This window comes from Homo sapiens, chromosome 1, assembly GCF_000001405.40.
Source record: "Homo sapiens chromosome 1, GRCh38.p14 Primary Assembly".
Lineage (NCBI taxonomy): Eukaryota > Metazoa > Chordata > Mammalia > Primates > Hominidae > Homo > Homo sapiens.
In genome coordinates, this window is record NC_000001.11 from 22,860,973 (window position 1) to 22,878,360 (window position 17,388).

At 51.7% G+C, this 17,388-nt stretch overlaps 1 protein-coding gene and 1 non-coding gene across 8 annotated transcripts in view, besides 2 other annotated features; one reads left to right on the forward strand and one right to left on the reverse strand.

The window, feature by feature from the left end:
* EPHB2 (EPH receptor B2) overlaps positions 1-17,388 on the forward strand; it is a 210,663-nt gene that overhangs the window by 150,135 nt on the left and 43,140 nt on the right. For all 7 annotated transcript variants that reach the window (NM_004442.7, XM_006710442.5, XM_047449104.1 and 4 more), the window contains 2 exon segments: positions 2,065-2,220; positions 3,905-4,240. In NM_004442.7, the coding sequence (NP_004433.2) occupies positions 2,065-2,220; positions 3,905-4,240 (492 nt within the window).
* MIR4253 (microRNA 4253) lies at positions 2,187-2,254 on the reverse strand. The gene has a single exon (NR_036214.1). It is a non-coding gene; the product is annotated as a microRNA 4253 (primary transcript).
* Positions 4,053-4,398: a silencer, noted in NCBI's record as "fragment chr1:23191518-23191863 (GRCh37/hg19 assembly coordinates)". NCBI's record gives its function as "represses an EF-1alpha promoter that drives an FKBP-Casp9 reporter gene in an ReSE screen in phorbol 12-myristate 13-acetate-treated (for megakaryocytic differentiation) K562 erythroleukemia cells {active_cell/tissue: K562(+PMA)}" and the evidence as "EXISTENCE:reporter gene assay evidence [ECO:0000049][PMID:32094911]".
* Positions 15,730-16,329: an enhancer, noted in NCBI's record as "H3K27ac-H3K4me1 hESC enhancer chr1:23203195-23203794 (GRCh37/hg19 assembly coordinates)". NCBI's record gives its function as "activates a minimal SCP1, AML or CMV promoter by ChIP-STARR-seq in naive H9 embryonic stem cells {active_cell/tissue: H9 hESC(naive)}" and the evidence as "EXISTENCE:reporter gene assay evidence [ECO:0000049][PMID:30033119]".

Genomic DNA, 17,388 nt, shown 5'->3' on the forward strand with positions numbered 1-17,388 from the left:
ATCCTCATGATTACTTTATGTGGTAGATGCTCTTACCAATGAGAACAATGTAGCTCAGAGAGGTCAAATAACTTGTCTAAGGTCTCTCAGCAAATTGCTTTTGAACCAGATGGCTTAGTACTGCCAGGAACTGTTACAAGTGTTTTTACATAAGTTAAGCAATATAAACTGACAACAACTCTAGGAGGTAGATACTGTTGTCCCATTTTACAGATAAGGAAACAGTTTAAGTGACTTCCCCGAGGCCACACTGCTCACACAGGTGGGTCTGGGTTTGCCAGCAGCCTGCACACTAACCACTATGTTCACTGCCCTCCTGCTTGCATGGCCTCCAAAGCCCATGCTCATTCCACTTAAGGAGGCAGCTCCAAGATGTATTTATGGGCCAGGTGTGGTGGCTTTTGCTTGTAATCCCAGCACTCTGGGAGGCTGAGGCAGGAGGACTGCTTGAGCCCAGGAGTTCAAGACCAGCCTGAGCAACATAGTGAGACCCCCCATCTCTACAAAAATAAAAATAAAATTAATAACAACAACAAAAGAAGTATTTACAGAGCACTTGCTGGGTGCAGATTCTAAGCTAGGCACAGGACAAGCAGCTGTGAGTCAGACATGGCTCTGATCCTGGGGGAGTTGAGAGCATGGCCAGGAGACCCCCAGAAAAATAATTTTGGTGGGTAAGTAAAGCACTCTGAACCCAAGCAATGTTCTGGGCCCCAAGAAAGGCAGGGTCTCTGAGGCCAGAGCTGGTTGAGGGTTGAGGGAGGGTGGTTTGCTAAGACTTGGACTGGGAAGATAAGCCTTGAAGACTAGAGCTGGAAAAAATGAACTAGGGAAATTTATGTTAATTGTTTACATACACAGAAACTAATGTCCAGAGAAGCTGAGTCACTTGCTGAAGAACCCACAGCACCCAGGCATAAAATGTACTCCCGGTGAGGGCCTGGGGGCCTGTGGATGGTTTAGCTGCATTTCATCCCAAGGAGATGAAATGTTTGTTGCAAAGCTGTTTCCTGTCCACCCACTTACCCATTGCACAATCTCTTCCAGGTATCATAGCAGAGCTGGGTTCATGAACCCAGCAGGCTGAAGCTGGGAGAGGGGCAGGGCCTAGACCCTCAGCCTCCTGATTCTCAGCCCAGGGCCAGCAAGAAGAGGAAGGTGGATTTGAATATGTGTGCACACAAGGCAGTTGCCTCTTATAGGCCCTAACCTCATACTCAGAGCTACAGTGGGGGTGGACTCCATATCAGGGATGATGGCCACAGCCCATGGGAGAAGCCAAATGAGGGCCGAGTGCAAGCAGTGCCCTCCTTAGGCTGGCCCTGGTACTGCAGGCCCGCCTTTTATTAATATTTTAATAAATTGATCACATATTCATTGGGCACCTATACTGTGCAAGGCCTTGTGCCATGGGCCTTACGCTTAAGCAGAATACTCACAATGACCCTGCAGAGATGGGCCTTAGAATCCTAATTTTACAAATAAGAAAACTGAGTCTGAGTAGTTAAGCAGCTTGTCTGGGGCTGCACAGCTAGTAAAAGGCCTAGCCAGTACTCAAAGCCAGGTCGGTCTTATTCCAAAAGTAGTGTCCTCCTCTATTCTACCACATCACCTCTCTACACTGCCCTAGGACTTTTCTTCTGCCGTATAATCATCTTAATTGTCTGTAACCCAAGGATCTAGTTCTAAGAATCAGGGCCCAGCCAGACATTATTAAGCAAGACCAGGACCCATGCACACTGCCCCAGACATCTTCAGATGTGCCTCCTAACTAGGTCAGGATTGATTCTAGAGACCATGACACAGCCAAGCTGGGATAGGTGAGGGAAGATTGCTGGGAGCCCTAGACAGCTCACGGACAAGAAACTAGGGAGCCCTGACAGAATTAGAACTCCCACGTTGGGGCCTGGAGACTTCAAACCCTTCAAGAGATGAGATTTTCCAGCAGTGGTGCTGCATGGCCCCTCCGCGAGGCTGTGTGGCCCCTCCGTGAGGCTGCGTGGCTCGTGACCTCTCTGAGTCTTCATCCAGTTTCCTGGTGACTCTCCTTGTCTTCTCTCTCAGGTTGTCCATCTGGGACTTTCAAGGCCAACCAAGGGGATGAGGCCTGTACCCACTGTCCCATCAACAGCCGGACCACTTCTGAAGGGGCCACCAACTGTGTCTGCCGCAATGGCTACTACAGAGCAGACCTGGACCCCCTGGACATGCCCTGCACAAGTAAGTCCTAGGGCCCCTCAAGGGCGATGGCTGGCCGAGTCCCAGGTCTACCTGCAGAAAAGCTCAGAGTGAGGATTGGGTGCCGTCCGGTTACAGCCAGTCTTTCCCTGGTGGGAAGAGAAATGGAAAAGTGCTCAAGAAAGGGGCATCCTGGGGTGGCCATGCTCCCACCTTGCAGACACCACAGTGCTGGCATCTGGCTCCTTACCCCCTTCTGCTGAGTCACATGGAAGATAAAGTCAAGGTCTGGATTCACAAAGGGACAGGGGATGGGAGGCTTGGCAGGAGATGAAGCAACACAGGTAGTATATGTGGCAGAAAAGGCTGCCCAGTGTTCTAACCTGGCAGCAGCTGCCTGAATCACAGCCCAAGGTCCTCTAGGAAGGCACTGCCTGAGAACGCAGCGTCACAACCCCTGTATCTGTCAGGGATGGCATTCAGCTGTAAGTAACAGAGCTGAGCCCTATGGCTGAAACTGTACGGATTTATTCTCTCACCCAAAAGGAGCCCAAGGTAGACAGTCCTGGGACAGTATGGGCAATCCACGATGGCCTTTGGGGCCTGGCTCTTTCTGCCATTCAGAATGGCATAATCCTAGCTCACTGCAGCCTCAACCTCCTGGGCTCAGGTGCCCTCAGCCTTCTGCCCTCAGCCTCCTGAATACCTGGGATTACAGGCGTGCACCACCACACCCAGCTAATTTTTCTAATTTTTTGTAGAGACAGGGTCTCGCTATGTTGCCAAGGCTAGATTTGAACTCCCGGGCTCAAGGAATCTTCCCGCATCCTCCCAAAGTGCTGGATTACAGGCATGAGCCACCACGCCCAACCTAGTTTCTGTTCTTTTTTTTTTTTTTTTTTTTTTTTGAGATGGAGTTTCACTCTGTCGCCCAGGCTCTGGAATGCAATGGCATCATGATCTCAGCTCATGGCAACTTCCACCTCCCGGGTTCAAGTGGTTCTCCCACCTCAGCCTCCCGAGTAACTGGGATTACAGGCATCCGCCATCATGCCCGGCTAATTTTTTGTATTTTTAGTAGAGACGGGGTTTCCTATGTTGGCCAGGCTGGTCTTGAACTCCTGACCTCAGGTGATCCGCCTGCCTCGGCCTCCCAAAGTGCTGGGATTACAGGTGTTAGCCACTGTTGTTTCTGTTCTTAACGTCACTTCATAGTCCAGCATAGCTGCTGAAGTCCCAGCCATCACCCACATTTTAGGCAGCAGAAGCAGGGAAAGGACAAAGGGACACGCCATAGCTGTCTGTCTCTTTTTAAAGAAACAGCCCTAGTCAACAACTTCTGCTCTATATCAGTGGCAAGCACTTAAACACAGGAGGCTGGGAAATGCCATCTTTTAGCTGGACATATTGCCACCATGAATAAAGCTGGGCTGTTCTAAGGAAGAAGGAGAAAATAGATACTGGGCAGGTATAATTCCAAACGCAAAAATACTATCCTCAGTAACAAACACTGAGCAGTTTGTAAGCTGGGAGGAGAGAAAGGTTTGGGCAGATGTACAGCAGGCTAACTTGTATTCTAGAAACATTTCTCTGGTGGGGAGACAGGACAAAGAATTTAAGGAAGTCCTTTCAGAGGGGCTGAGCCAGAGCAGCGGGCACAGAGTGGTCACATGGGGAATAGTACCCCCTGAGCCCCCCACTGACCAACACCTCTCCCCCGCCCCAGCCATCCCCTCCGCGCCCCAGGCTGTGATTTCCAGTGTCAATGAGACCTCCCTCATGCTGGAGTGGACCCCTCCCCGCGACTCCGGAGGCCGAGAGGACCTCGTCTACAACATCATCTGCAAGAGCTGTGGCTCGGGCCGGGGTGCCTGCACCCGCTGCGGGGACAATGTACAGTACGCACCACGCCAGCTAGGCCTGACCGAGCCACGCATTTACATCAGTGACCTGCTGGCCCACACCCAGTACACCTTCGAGATCCAGGCTGTGAACGGCGTTACTGACCAGAGCCCCTTCTCGCCTCAGTTCGCCTCTGTGAACATCACCACCAACCAGGCAGGTAAGTGCTTCCGACGTGGGCCAGGGGAGTGCCCCATCGCGCTGTGCCAGGGAGGGTCCTGCAGTCCTCACAAAAGACTCCTTCACATCTATGGAGTGATTTCTTCTTTTCAAAGGCTTTTCATGTGATCGGTCCACCTGGGAGAGTAAGTGCTACCTCTTCATTGTAGTGGTATTAATAACAATTGCTCCCATTTGTTGAGTGCATATTATTGAAGGTAAAAGTTAAGCTGCTGTAACAAAAAGATCCAACATTAGGTGACTTAAAGGAGTGGAATGTATTTCTCTCTCATGGGAGAATCCAGAGGTGAGCAGTCCACGTCAGCGTGGTGACTCTGATCCACTCAGAGACTCAGGGACCCAGGTTATTTCCGTGTCATTTCCCCACGTCCCCTGCTCCTTGTCTGTATGATTCAAGCTGAGTCTCAGGCATGTCTGTGCGAAGAGAGGGAAGACAGGGCAGCAATGATGTTTGAAGCAAGGTAGGTAGAGGCAGCATCTTTCTCTTTTGCATGCATTCCACGGGCAGGGCCTCAGTCACGTGGCCTCACTGAGACCCAGGAGAGCCCAGAGATGTCATCTCTTGCAGCCTAACTTGTACCTCCATCACAAGTGCTTTCTGTGAAGTTCAGCCCACTCCAGTCTTAACTCCAGCAAAACTCTCCTCAAGCTCACCTTTAGTAACCTTTTCTGTGGCCTCACGTCATCCTCCACCCCCCACCCTTCTTTCCTTCACGGCAAAAAAGGAAGTTGCCGGCCACCACAGTCTCCCCTCCACCCTGTTCTCTCTCTAGTCCCCACTCCACTTGGGCTCCTAGCCTCCCCTCTCTACCAGGACCACTGTCCTCAGTGTCATAGGAGGCTAAGTCCTAGAGATGCTTCCCAGCCTCATCCCCCCACCTGAGGGCCACATGAGATTATCGAGGACATTATGCTATCTGTGGGTAGAAGATCTCATGGTTGGCACTGTGAGTGTGCCCCTCAGTTATTCACTCAGCAACCTTTGCCAAACCCCTACAGTAAGCATGGTCAGGGCCATGTCCATGGAAGAGCTAAGGGAGGCCAGGCTGCAAGAGGGAAAGTGACTGGGCTCCCGAGCTGATCTTTCTGATGTAGGGTGGGGCCCACATGGTAAGCATGCAGGGATCCAGTTGTGGAAGTCCAGGCCCAGGAAGTCTTCCTGGAGGAGGTGGAATTTGACTTGCAGTTTGAAGGACCAGTCGAAATTTTTTCTTTAGAGATGGAGTCTTGTATGTTGCCCAGGCTCATCTTGAACTCCTGGCCTCAAGTGATCCTCCTGCCTCAGCCTCCCAAAGTGCTGGGATTACAAACAAGAGCTGCTTCACCCAGCCAGTAGAATGTTGAAGGGAACAATAGAAAAAAATGGAATTCAGAAGGGAGGAAGGGCATGCCAAGGACATTGAAAGAGAGAGGGCAACTGGCTGGGCACAGTGGCTCACATCTGTAATCCCAGTACTTTGGGAGGCCAAGGCGGGAGGATCACCTGAGGTCAAGAGTTCAAGACCAACCTGGCCAACATGGTGAAGCCCCATCTCTATTAAAAATACAAAAATTAGCCAGGTATGGTCGCGGGCACCTGTAATCCCAGCTACTCAGGAGGCTGAGGCAGAAGAATCGCTTGAACCCGGGAGGTGAATGTTGCAGTGAGCCGAGATCATGCCATTGCACTCCAGCCTGGGTGACAAGAGCAAAATTCTGTCTAAGTAAAAACAAGAGAGAGGAGAGAGCAACTGACTCCACCTGGTTGAGGGGTGTTTCCATGCATGACCTCACTGCATCCTTGTGGCCTCTCTGAGAAGGAAGCATCCATGTCCCCATTTCACAGATGATGCTCAGACAAGTTGAGTCACAAAACCAGGAAGAGTGAGAGGCAAGAATTGACTAGGTCTGACAGACTCCAGTTCTTGGGCGAAGTCCTTGATGTGTCCACGGCACCTTGAGCTTGACTATGGGTCTGATTGCGCATGTAAGTCTGTGTATTTGTGAGTGTGCTGTCATATGTGTTTGGTGAACATGTGTTTACAACGCATATGACTGTGGCCATGTGGGTTCTGTATACATGCATTTGTGAGCATGGATGTATCAACCTGCAGGGCCTTGGGGACAGGGGTAGGGGATATTGTGTATTTGAGCATGAGTTTGTACATCCAAATGTGGCTCTGCCTGTCTGTGTGTTTGTGTCTGAGGAGTGTGGTTTTGTTTGGGAATGTTGGTGGTGTTGCTGTGGCTGAGAGGGTATGTTTGTGACTGACTGCCTATAGTTCTTTTGGGGCCCTGGGTGGATTTAAGCCCTGCTCAGATTGGGGTCCAGAGGGAGCTGACTCAAAGGAGGCAATCTGAGAAAACCCTCAAAAACCAGCCGGTCACAGTGGCTCATGCCTGTAATCCCAGCACTTTGGGAGGCCAAGGTGGGTGGATCACATGAGGTTAGGAGTTCAAGACCAGCCTGGAAAACATGGTGAAACCCCATCTCTACTAAAAATACAAAAATTAGCCAGGCGTGGTGGTGAGCACCTGCAATCCCAGCTACTCGAGAGGCTGAGACAGGAGAATCACTTGAACCTGGGAGGCAGAGCTTGCAATGAGCTGAGATCGTGCCACTGCACTCCAGCCTGAATGACAAAGCGAGATTCCATCTCGAAGAAGAAGAAAAAAAAAGTCAACAAGTGATAGAAAAGACCCCTAACAGATTAGAAAACCTCAGCTGTGCGTCTCTCTGGCTTGACAAAGCTCTGAGCTGGAGAAACCCAGGCCCCCAAAGGGGGTGGTGGAGAGGGAACTCTTTCTAACTGGTAGAAGCCAGAAGGAAGCTCCTGGAGCCCTTTCCCTGGTTGCGGGGAACTCTCCTACATCCATTTGGGAGCTCTGCAGGTGGAACTGCCTACTCAAGACGCCTCAGCTTATTTGTAGCTAGGAGTGGTTCTGGGCTGCTGGGATGGACCCTGCTGTCTGGAGCTGGATGTACCCAGGAGTAGAGATGGGGCGGAGTATGGACGTGAGGGGTTTCCGGGGAATAGGCACACAGGGAGAGCCCTCAGGATCGAAAGACAGAGAAGCAATGAGAAACAAGCACTGGATTAGGAGCAGAGACCGAGGCTTGGCTTTGCCGTTCATTTGCTGCATGACATTAGCAAATGAACGGCATTCATTTAGTCAGTGTATGAGTCAGCTACTCCTGCAATAATGCTGCATAACAAAATCACCCCACAACTCAGTAGTTTAAACAATAAATATTTATTTTCTCACTCACTAGTGTGTGGGTCAGCTAGGGTTTGACTAATCTTGGCCATGCTCTCTGTGCTGGGCAGGTCTCCAGAATGTGATTTGGGTTCAGCCTATTTCATGTGTCTCCTCATTCTCCTTGGACTGGCAGCCACCCCAGGCTTGTTTCTCTCAAGGTGAAGTGTAGGAGCATGGAGGGAGCCAACCATATCTCATTGGCCAAAACAAGTCCCACGGCCAAGCCCAGCATCAGTGGGATGGAGAAGTATACTCTGCCCACAGTGAGTGGGCCCTGCAGATTTACTTGGTAAAGGATGTGGGTACCTAATCCTATCACAGAAAAGGAAGAACTGGGGTCATTGTTCTAATCTACCATGCACGTGAAAATCACTTCCTCTGAGGCCTCAGTTTCCCCACCAAATTGTACATAAGAACTATATGTAAGCATGACTTCCAGAACACAGATTTCTCTCTACCCCAGTCCTGCTGAATCAGAACCCCAGCCGCAGACCCTGGGAATATGCATTGTTAACAAGTGAGTCAGGTGTTTCTTACCATCGGACAAATTTGGGAAACTCAGGTCTGAGTAAGTCTAAACCCCCTGAAGCCCTCAAAGCCCTGAGGCTTTTGAAATTATAACAAGTCTTTCCCCCTCCTCTTTATTCCAAGCCCCTTGTCTTACAGCTGCTCAGAGCCCAGCTGGGGGCTGTGCAACCTCACCACACCCCCACCCCATTATCCCCCTTTGCCAGGTGAGGAAACTGAAGCCCAGAGAGGTAGAGTCATTTATGCTAGGTCCTACTACTTAAGTGACTTCTACTAATATTTAAACCCAGGACCATGTGACTCCAAGTCTACACTGTTCTGCAGTATAGTGTAGACACAGTATCTGCCCTTGAGGATGTATGTCCTAGTTGGAAAAATAAAACACAGACACAGAGCCTACATACAAGATGGCATGGATGAGGGCCCAAGAGGTGCTGGGGGAGATGAGGGAGATCACAGGCAGGAGAAATCATCCTCCTAGGGAATGAGCAAAGGGTATGTCCTGGAAGGCTTCCTGGAAGAGGAGGCATTTGAGCTTGACTTTGAAGAATGGAGAGGCTTCTAGCAAGCAGAGATGGAATCATACAGGAAGGAAGATGGCCTGGGGGAGGGAAGTACAGCAGGCAACTGGAGGGAGGGATTCTTCTTTCTGTTCCTCCTAAGTATCAGGTTCCCCTGACGCAGAGTCTTGGCACATGCTGTTCCCTCTGCCTGGAAAGGCTTTCTTATCCCATTCTTCCTTCAGGCCTCAGCTCATTTCACTGACCTTCCTGACTTGGTGGGACACCTCCCTCCCCAACCCCAGCACCATGGCCTTCTAGTTCCCGTGGTTGAAATTTTACCTTGTGTCATTGATCATTTAGTTCTTGTTCGTCTCCCCCATCATCGGCACTCGCAGCACACAATGGGTCTGCTTTTCCTCACCATGGTTTTCCCGGCACCTAGAGGGGGCTGCACCACAGTGAACATTCAGCGAACATTTGCAGAAGGGTTCGGAGAAGCGTGGGGTGAGGTGGGGTGTGGAGAAGTGCAATCGGGCTGGGAAACAAGGCTGGGGACTCAATTTCCAGACAAATGCATTCAGTGGTCGGTTTTAAACAGACCCTAAAATTCAATATATAAATATCTAGCTCATTGCCTTAAAAGGAAAAAGTGTTTCTTCTGGGCAAGTGACTGGGCCTTGCTCGCAATCCCTTGGCATTCACCGGGGCCAGAACTGTCTTCTGACTTCATCCAGCCATCATGCCGCCTTTGAACCACGCTCTGCCTTTCCAGAGCACCTTTCTGCCTCATATTCATGAGTCGTGCTCATGGCCCCGAGGAAGGAGGCTGGGCTGGGCTTGAGGGATAAGGAAACGGGTTGGGAGAGGTCATGCCACATACTCAGGTGTACTCCGCTGGACAGTGGCAGACCCAGGAGTCAGTCTGGCTGTTCAGAGTGAGCCACGCTACCCTCCTGCCTCTCCACACCCACAGACAAGACCATAGCAGAGAGGGGCAGGAGGGAGGGACAGAGGCTGAGCCTTAGGGTGGGCAGTCAGAGGAGAGCTTCTCTGAGGAGGTGGTGTTTAAGCTGAGGTCCGAATGACAAGCAGACAGCCCTGCAGACCTGGGGGCTGGGAGGTGTAGCATTTCACTGATCCCGGGCTTCTATCCAGCGCCCTTGGCCATTCTCCAGGGCTGCCCCGGACACAGCCTAAGCCCTTTAAGGATCTCACCCTGAGCAAGCCCAGAACACCCCCACCTCTGCCAGCTTCCGGAAGTAGTGGGAAGGGTCTGTGCTTTGGAATCAGGCAGCCGAACCTGGCTTTGAGTCAAGCCTGGCCGCTCACCAGCATGCAACCTTGGACAAGTCACTCAGCTCATGTCTGATTGCATCTTCCTCATGGATAGCTTCGCCCTCTCCTTACAGGAGGATTTAGCTGTGAGGATTTCAGCTAAGCTATGCAAGGTGCCTCCCAGGTTGCTGGCACAGGTAGGCGCCTAAAACACAGAGATCATTCTCTATTCACTCTAATCCCCAAAACGGCTCACATTTGTCAAGTGCTAACTGTGTGCCAGGCACCGTGCTAAGCCCTTAACACTGAATCCTCACAACGATACGAGGTAGGTCCTGTTGTCATCCTGTTTTATAGATGAAAGGAAAGCGAGGCATTGAGAGGTAAGTGACTTACTCTGCTCTATCCCAGGCCAGGAAGTAACAGAACCTGAATAATTGTATCTCTGCATCCTCAGGGCCCAATGTTGACCAGACCCATGCCTTCTACAGAGATGGGGCAGGCAGTCCATATGCTCCATCCATACCACAGCCTGGCTGGGTATCCCCAGCCTTTGAGGCCCCCTGTAATTAACAGGGTCAGCCACTTAGGAAGCTCTACCATCAGCATATCCTAGGAGCTCATGTTGCAGAAAGGGCATCAGAGCGGGGCCTGACAAATTCAGCCCCCATCCCACATGGCCCCTTCCAAGCTGTGTAGCCAGGATGTGAGAAGACCTCATTTCTCTGAGCCTCAGTTCCATCACCTACAAAATGGGCATTTATCTATCATTACAGCTTTGCTAGATGGTTGTGGACATTAACAAGAATGTGAACAGCACCTGGAACATAGATGGACAGTACATGGCAGCTTGGCTTAGTTCCCTATTGCTGCCAGAACAAAATACCTCAAACCTAGCAACTTAACACAATACACATTTATTATCTTATTGTTCTGCAGGTTCAGAAGCCTAGCGTGGGCCGGGTGCAGTGGCTCATGCCTGTAATCCCAGCACTTTAGGAGGCTGAGGCGGGTGGATCACGAGGTCAGGAGTTCGAGACCAGCCTGACCAACATGGTGAAACCCCATCTCTACTAAAATTACAAAAATTAGCTGGGCATGGTGGCGCACACCTGTCATCCCAGCTACTCAGAAGGCTGAGGCAGGAGAATTGCTTGAACCCAGGAGGCGGAGGTTGCAGTGAGCAGAGATCGTGCCATTGCACTCCAGCCTGGGTAACAGAGCGAGACTCCATCTCAAAGAAAAAAAAAAAAATCTAGCATGGATCTCATCAAGCTAAAAGCAGTGTTGGCAGGATGTGTCCTTTCTGATGGTGCTAAGGGACAATCCGTTTTCTTGCTTAGAGGGGTTGTTAGCAGAATTCAATTCCACGTGGCTGTGGGAGTGAGGCCTCTCTCCCCTTGCTGACCATCAGCTGGGGGCTGCCTGAGCTCCTCAAGGCCTCTCTTGGGTCCTTCCACAGAACCCTGACATCTCAGAAGCAGCAGCAGGGCATTGAGTCTTCCCACTCTCCAACTCACTGGTTCTTTGACTCTCTGCTGGGAAAGGTTCTCTTCATGTAAGCACTCAAGAGATGAAGTTCAAGCTACCTGGATAATCTAGGAAAATCTCTCCATCTCAAGGGTCATAACCTTCATCACACCTGCAAAGTCCCTTTTGTCATGTAAGGTAACATATTCACAGATCCCGGGAATTAAGACGTGAACATCTTTGGGGGGTCATTATTCTGCCTATCACAGAAGTTAAACCTACATCAAATTACAACTCAGCAGTGTTGGTAGAGGCCTTGGAGTTCACCTAGGGCAAACACCTCCTTTTAGAAGAAAACTGAGGTCCACAGAGGTTCCTTAGTGGCTACCCAAGATCCCACAGCAGGTCCCCAGCATCCTGACCGGGTGTCTGTGACACCACTCCACATGGCTTTCTCGTGGAAAGACTTTCAACTCTCCAAAGCCTTTTCTGCCACTTGTGTTCTCTGATCCTCCTGCCCTGCTGTGGGGCGGGCACACAATGGCTCAGCCTCTGGAACTGGCATGAACGTGTACTCACCTACTTCTCTCCCTGGGGGACCAAGAGGATCAGAGAGAAATGGGCCAAGAGAGCCCCCTGTGTGCTTATGCCTGAGACCACGAGGTTCGAGAGGGAGATAGAGGGAGAGGGCACTTCCCTCCCTGGGCCGAGCCCTCTCCGCGCATCTTCCTCTTTGATCCTCCCAAGCATTCTGCAGGGAAGGCATTGCTGACCTAGAGTATCATTTAAGATTGGTTTTGGCTGCATATTCTAGGAAGAAAAATAACAGATAGCCACTGCCACAGTAGTGCTGGTTAACAATCAACCATTAACCACAAAGCCGACAGCATGGAACAAGAAGCACTTAGCTAGCTGGGGAGTCTCAGGGTCGACTGGACAGCAACGCTGGTCTTGGCGAGGTGCATTCTTAGGTTTGTAGTTCATCTGCTCCGGGTCACTCGGCAGCTCTTTGGGTTTTGTCACGTTTGGGGGTTGACTGCTGTCCACTGGTCTGGAGTGGCCCTGGAGGGGACAACTGGAGCAACAACTCTGCTCCAACATGTCTCAGCCTCCAGCAAGTCCACCTGTGCATGTTTTCTCATGGCAATCACAGGGAACCAAGGCAGCAGGCAGACACTCGCAAGGGCTTTTGCAAGCCTCTGCTTATATCATGTTGGCTTATATCCTATTGGCCACCACAAGACACGTGGCCAAGCGAGAGTCAGAGAGAGAGAGAGAACTACATAAGTTACAGGGCAAAGGGTGTAGATACAGGGGGGTGATTAATACAACTGGTCTAACAGCATGGCTTAGACTAAAGGGAGGTTTCTTTTTCTCATGTGTGAAGCGTGTCAGAAGATAGGAGTACAGCAACTCCGTGGAGCCATCAGAGATCCACACTCCTCAGCACACAGCTTCATGTCCTCATGGACCAAAATGGCTGCAAGGTCTCTGGCTATCACATCCATGTCTCAGGTTGCAGTGGAAGGAGGGTGAGAAGGGTAGGGCCCTCCCTTTTAAGGAAACTTCCTAGAAGTCCCACACATGCTTCAGTTTATATTTCACGGCCACTTCTAGCTGCCAGAGAGGTTCAGAAAATGTTGTCTTCTATTTGGGCACAATGTACCTAGCTAAGAACCAGGATTTTGTTAAGTTGAGAAAAAGAGAGAATGGATAGTTGTAGCGTCTGCCACATCCCATTTTACAGGTAAGGAACCCAGGCTCAGAGAGAGGTAACTTGCCTGCAGTCACACATTGGCCTAGTAGAACAGCTGGCATCTGAACCCTGAACACCACCTTTTCTCACCTTCACCGCCACCACTATTCCAGAGCACTCAGCTACTCATGGTGCTGTTTGAGAATCTGAGCAGCCCAGACAGCTGCATTTGGCTCACATCATCCTCTGACCCCTTAATCTGGGCCAAGTCCTGTGCTAATCACTTTACAAACAGGTCTTCATTTAACCTTCCTTGCCCATTCACAGAGGAGAAACTGACGCACAGGAGGTGGAGGTAGGCTGCCCAGACCACCTGCTTTGAGGCCCAGGCTTTTAGCATCTTGCTAGTCCAGGTGCTGGGGTAGGACTGTCCCACCAGGAGGCCAAAGGTGAGGTCAAGACGATTCCACAACCCACTAGGAGATGGGTGATTGGATGTTTCCCCAGCACAAAGCCCAGGGCCTCGCCTCAGCCCACTCATAGGCTACTTATGGGTAGGGCCAGGTAACCAGGGGTAGAAGAAACCAACCTGGGCCTTACAGTCAGACAGACCTGGGTCCCCATCTCAGCCCTGCTGCCTGGGGTGTGGGGGCATCCTGTCGGTCTCTTCCTTTCCTCATTGGTAAAAAGGGAGGGATTAACCCCTACTCCATCTGATTGTGACGAAGGGGCCTGGCACTGGGCAGGCTCTGCTAAACATATGCTGGATCAAGGGGAGAGCAAATGAGCACATGAACAGCCAATTGCCACCCTAGAGAGGGGCTCTTCTCAAGTTCAAGGAAAAAATAATAATAATGTCTCCTGGACCCAGTTTTTTGTTTTATTTTTTTCATATGTTCCACAGATTGGTAGTTCCCAAAAACGTTAAGAACTATCATGTGAGAAAAGGTTTCTGAGGCCAAATGAGCCTGCGACCACTGGGTTAAACCGAGTTAACTGGATGTCTCCCCTGCGGGACTTCTCAGAGCCTTGAATTAAACACATGTGCAGTGTGAGTCTCCACAAGCAGACGGGCTACAACTCTGCGTTCCTCAAACTTTCTTAGCCACAGAATACGCAGTGCCACCCTAGCACCAGTTGTCAGCTTTTCCTTTTTTCTGTCCCATACCACTCTCTAAGAGGCCCATCAGAAAGAATCAAAGGCCCACTTTCTGGAAGTTTTATTTGCAGAAATTCGGTTGTGAGAATTATCGTCAGGTCATCCAGAATTGCAGCCAGATCATCGGGGGTTAACTGCGTTGCTACGGGTTTAAGGGACAAACACTCAAAAAGCAGCTGTCCCATGATGAGCTGGGAATTCTAAGAGTCCCGTCCCAAGTAAACTGTCCCTGCTACAGACCCTGGAGAGGACTAGCGCAGTGACAAGCAATTGTCATGGAACTGTTAGCTAGCTGGTGGCAAGAGGCCCCACGTCACTGCAGCAGTTCCCAACTGTGGGTGGGCACAGGGCCTGGGGGAGAGGGAAACTGCCTTCCGCTGGCTGCTTGGGAAGTACTGCCTGGGGCCTTTGTTTTAGTGGCCAGCCCACAAGGTCGGTAGACTCGGGTTCCTGAGGGCGCCAGAAAAGGGGAGAATCTGTCTGGTCCCCGCTTTTCCCTTTCTCCCTTCCTTCCTCCTTCCTTCCTCACTTTCTCCCTTCCTTCCTCCTTCCTGTCTTCGTTTCTTCCTCCAGTAAATATTGGTCATGCACCTACTCCAAGCCACACACTGTTTCAGGCTCTGGGGATAAAGGATTGAATGAGAGACAAGGTCCCTGACCTCAGATAGTGTTGGTGCTATGACAAAAATAAAATGAGTATGAGAAGGGGCTACTGGAGGGGAGAGGTAGTTCAGGAGGGCATCTCGGAGGAGTTGACATTTGAGCTGAGACTTCAATGAAGAGGAGGATTTGGCCATGGAAGATGTGGGGGAAGAGGTTTCCAAGCAGAAACACCATAGGGCCAAGGCCCTGAGGCAGAACAGAAAGGCTGCCAGTGTGGACAGCTTGGGAGAGAGGGGGCAGGCAGAGGGAGGTGGCAGACGCCAGGCAGCTGGGCCTTGTGGGCCACAGTAGTGTGTCTGTGTCTTATTCTGGGTGCAGTGGGAAGCCGCTGAGGGTCATCAACAGGGAGTGAAGACATCAGGGAGACATTGGGATCTGCAAGTCTGGGGCTTGGGATGGGGTCTCCAGCTGTCCTGTGCCCAGCGACCTCTCCCCCACTCCCTTGGAGCTCAGGGATCTTCGGACCAGTGAAAGGGTCGTAGCTCCGGGTTGTGAGGGGAAGCTGAGCCAATCCCCAAGCCCACCCACCTCTTGCAGCAACCAGGGGCACAGGCTGCTGGCTTCCTGTCCTGTCCTGGGATCCTAGTCCCAGAAGACCCTGAGAGACCACCCCGTACAACCCCTGCATGCCCTGAGAAGGAAACGGAGGCACACAGAGGGAAGGCTCCTTCCCCAAGTCTCAGCCAAGGAAGGGGCTGAACTCCCCTCTGGGGTTCACTGAGGGCAGCAGGGCCCCTGACCACCTGCTCCAGACAAGCAGGCCCCGCCTGGCCGGCCTCCCCCTGCCCCTCTCGGCCACAAGCCTCTTTTGTGCTTACTCCCTGGGGCTCCATCTCCTTGCAGGGGTCACAGGGCACCACTGACCCCATCCCCCTGTCAGCGTGCCCGGCTAGTAATTGAAAATACCAGAATTCCCTGATGACCAACTTACAGGGAAACCTGACACCCCAGGGTGGGCGGTGGGCAGCAGGAGGGGTGGGAGAGCATCCAGCTGTTCCCTTTTCTCCGCCGTTAATCCCCCTGGATTCCAGGAGAAAGGCTAGCCCTGCTGGCCCCCACTGGCCCGCCTTGATCATCTTCCTGGCAAATGCTGCCTCCTTGCCACGCCTGGGGTTACAGGGCTTATGGGATCAGAGCCCAGGTTAGCTGCCTGTAACCCAAGCCTGCCAGCTACGCCTGCCAGGCCCAGACCCCCAAGGCCGCGTGGGACCTGCCTCCACCAGCAGCTGAGTTCCCAGAGCTGGGGCGGGCCGGGTGGGTGGTAGGTGAGTCAGCGGGAACCAGGCGGGGTTAGCTCTGCAGCAGCAGGAAGGGAGCTGGACCAGGATGTCCTCAGGGGCCCTCGGAGGTCCGCTGGTTTCCAGAACTCCCTGGTCAGCCGGCATCAGCCACAGCCAGTGGAGGGGAAAGGATGTGTTGGACCTGGGTGAGCCTGGTTTGAATCCCAGCTCCACTGCTTGCTGTGTGGCCTTGGGCAAGTTACTTCACACTTCCGTGCGTCCATGTCCTCATCTGTAAAATGGGTATAACAGTAATACCAGCCTTGTAGGGTTGATAGGAGCATGAAGTGAGTTAACGGATGTGAAGCATGTGGTTTGCTGTTAGCTGCGCGGCCTTTCCCTTTTTCTGGGCACCATGGGGCATACGGGGGTTATCAGAATGGCAAGCTGAATGACAAGCTTGTTTTAGTTGAGGAGCAGGTTGCCACCCCTACTAGTCCTTCTGTGGCTCCCCAGTGCCTCAGGACTGGAAGTTTGGCCCCCACCTTCCTCGGCAGCCTTGTCTCTTCACCTCTCATGGAACTCTTTGTATGGCTGCTCCAAGACCCTCTGAGCTCCAGGGCCGTATATAAAGAGTGTAGCCCAGGCAGGTGAGGGGGGCAGGCTCAGCAGAAGCCAGGCTGCAAGCAGCCGCGTGGCAGGTGGATCATATACTAGACCAGGACTCAGCTGCTCCTGGCTCTAGTCCAGCTTTACCACTACCAGCTGTGTAGCCTTGGACAAGTCACTTTCTTTCTCTGGCCCTGAATCCACTAGTCCTCAAAATGTGGTCCACAGACCAGCAGTATCAACATCACCTGGGAGTTTGCTAGAAATGCACATTCTCAGGCCCCACTCCAGACCTGCTGAAGTAGAATCTCAGTGGGGGGTGTTGTGGGGAGGCCAGCAATGTGAATTTTAATAAACTCTCCTGGTTATCCTTATGCCCATTCAAGTTTTAAAAGTGCTGCAATCTAGAGAGATACATTCTACAATTGTCCTTTGTTGGGAGGTGAAACTCCAGAGAGAGGTGTGAACAGAACAGCCTCTGCTGAAATCCCAGAGGGTGATGTGAACAGAGCAGCTCTGCTGAACTCCCTGAAGGTGGTGTGAATGGAGCAGATCCTGATGAATTCCCAGGGAGAGGTGTGAACAGAGCAGCCCCTGCTGAAATCCCTGAAGGTGGTGTGAACGGAGCAGCCTCTGCTGAACTCCCAGGGAGAAGTGTGAATGGAGCAGCCCCTGCTCTTGTTCAAGGCTGAATCACTTTGACCAAGTCCTAAAATGGGAGCTTGGACCCCAGAGCTCCATGCCACTTCTGAGTCTTACAGCTTC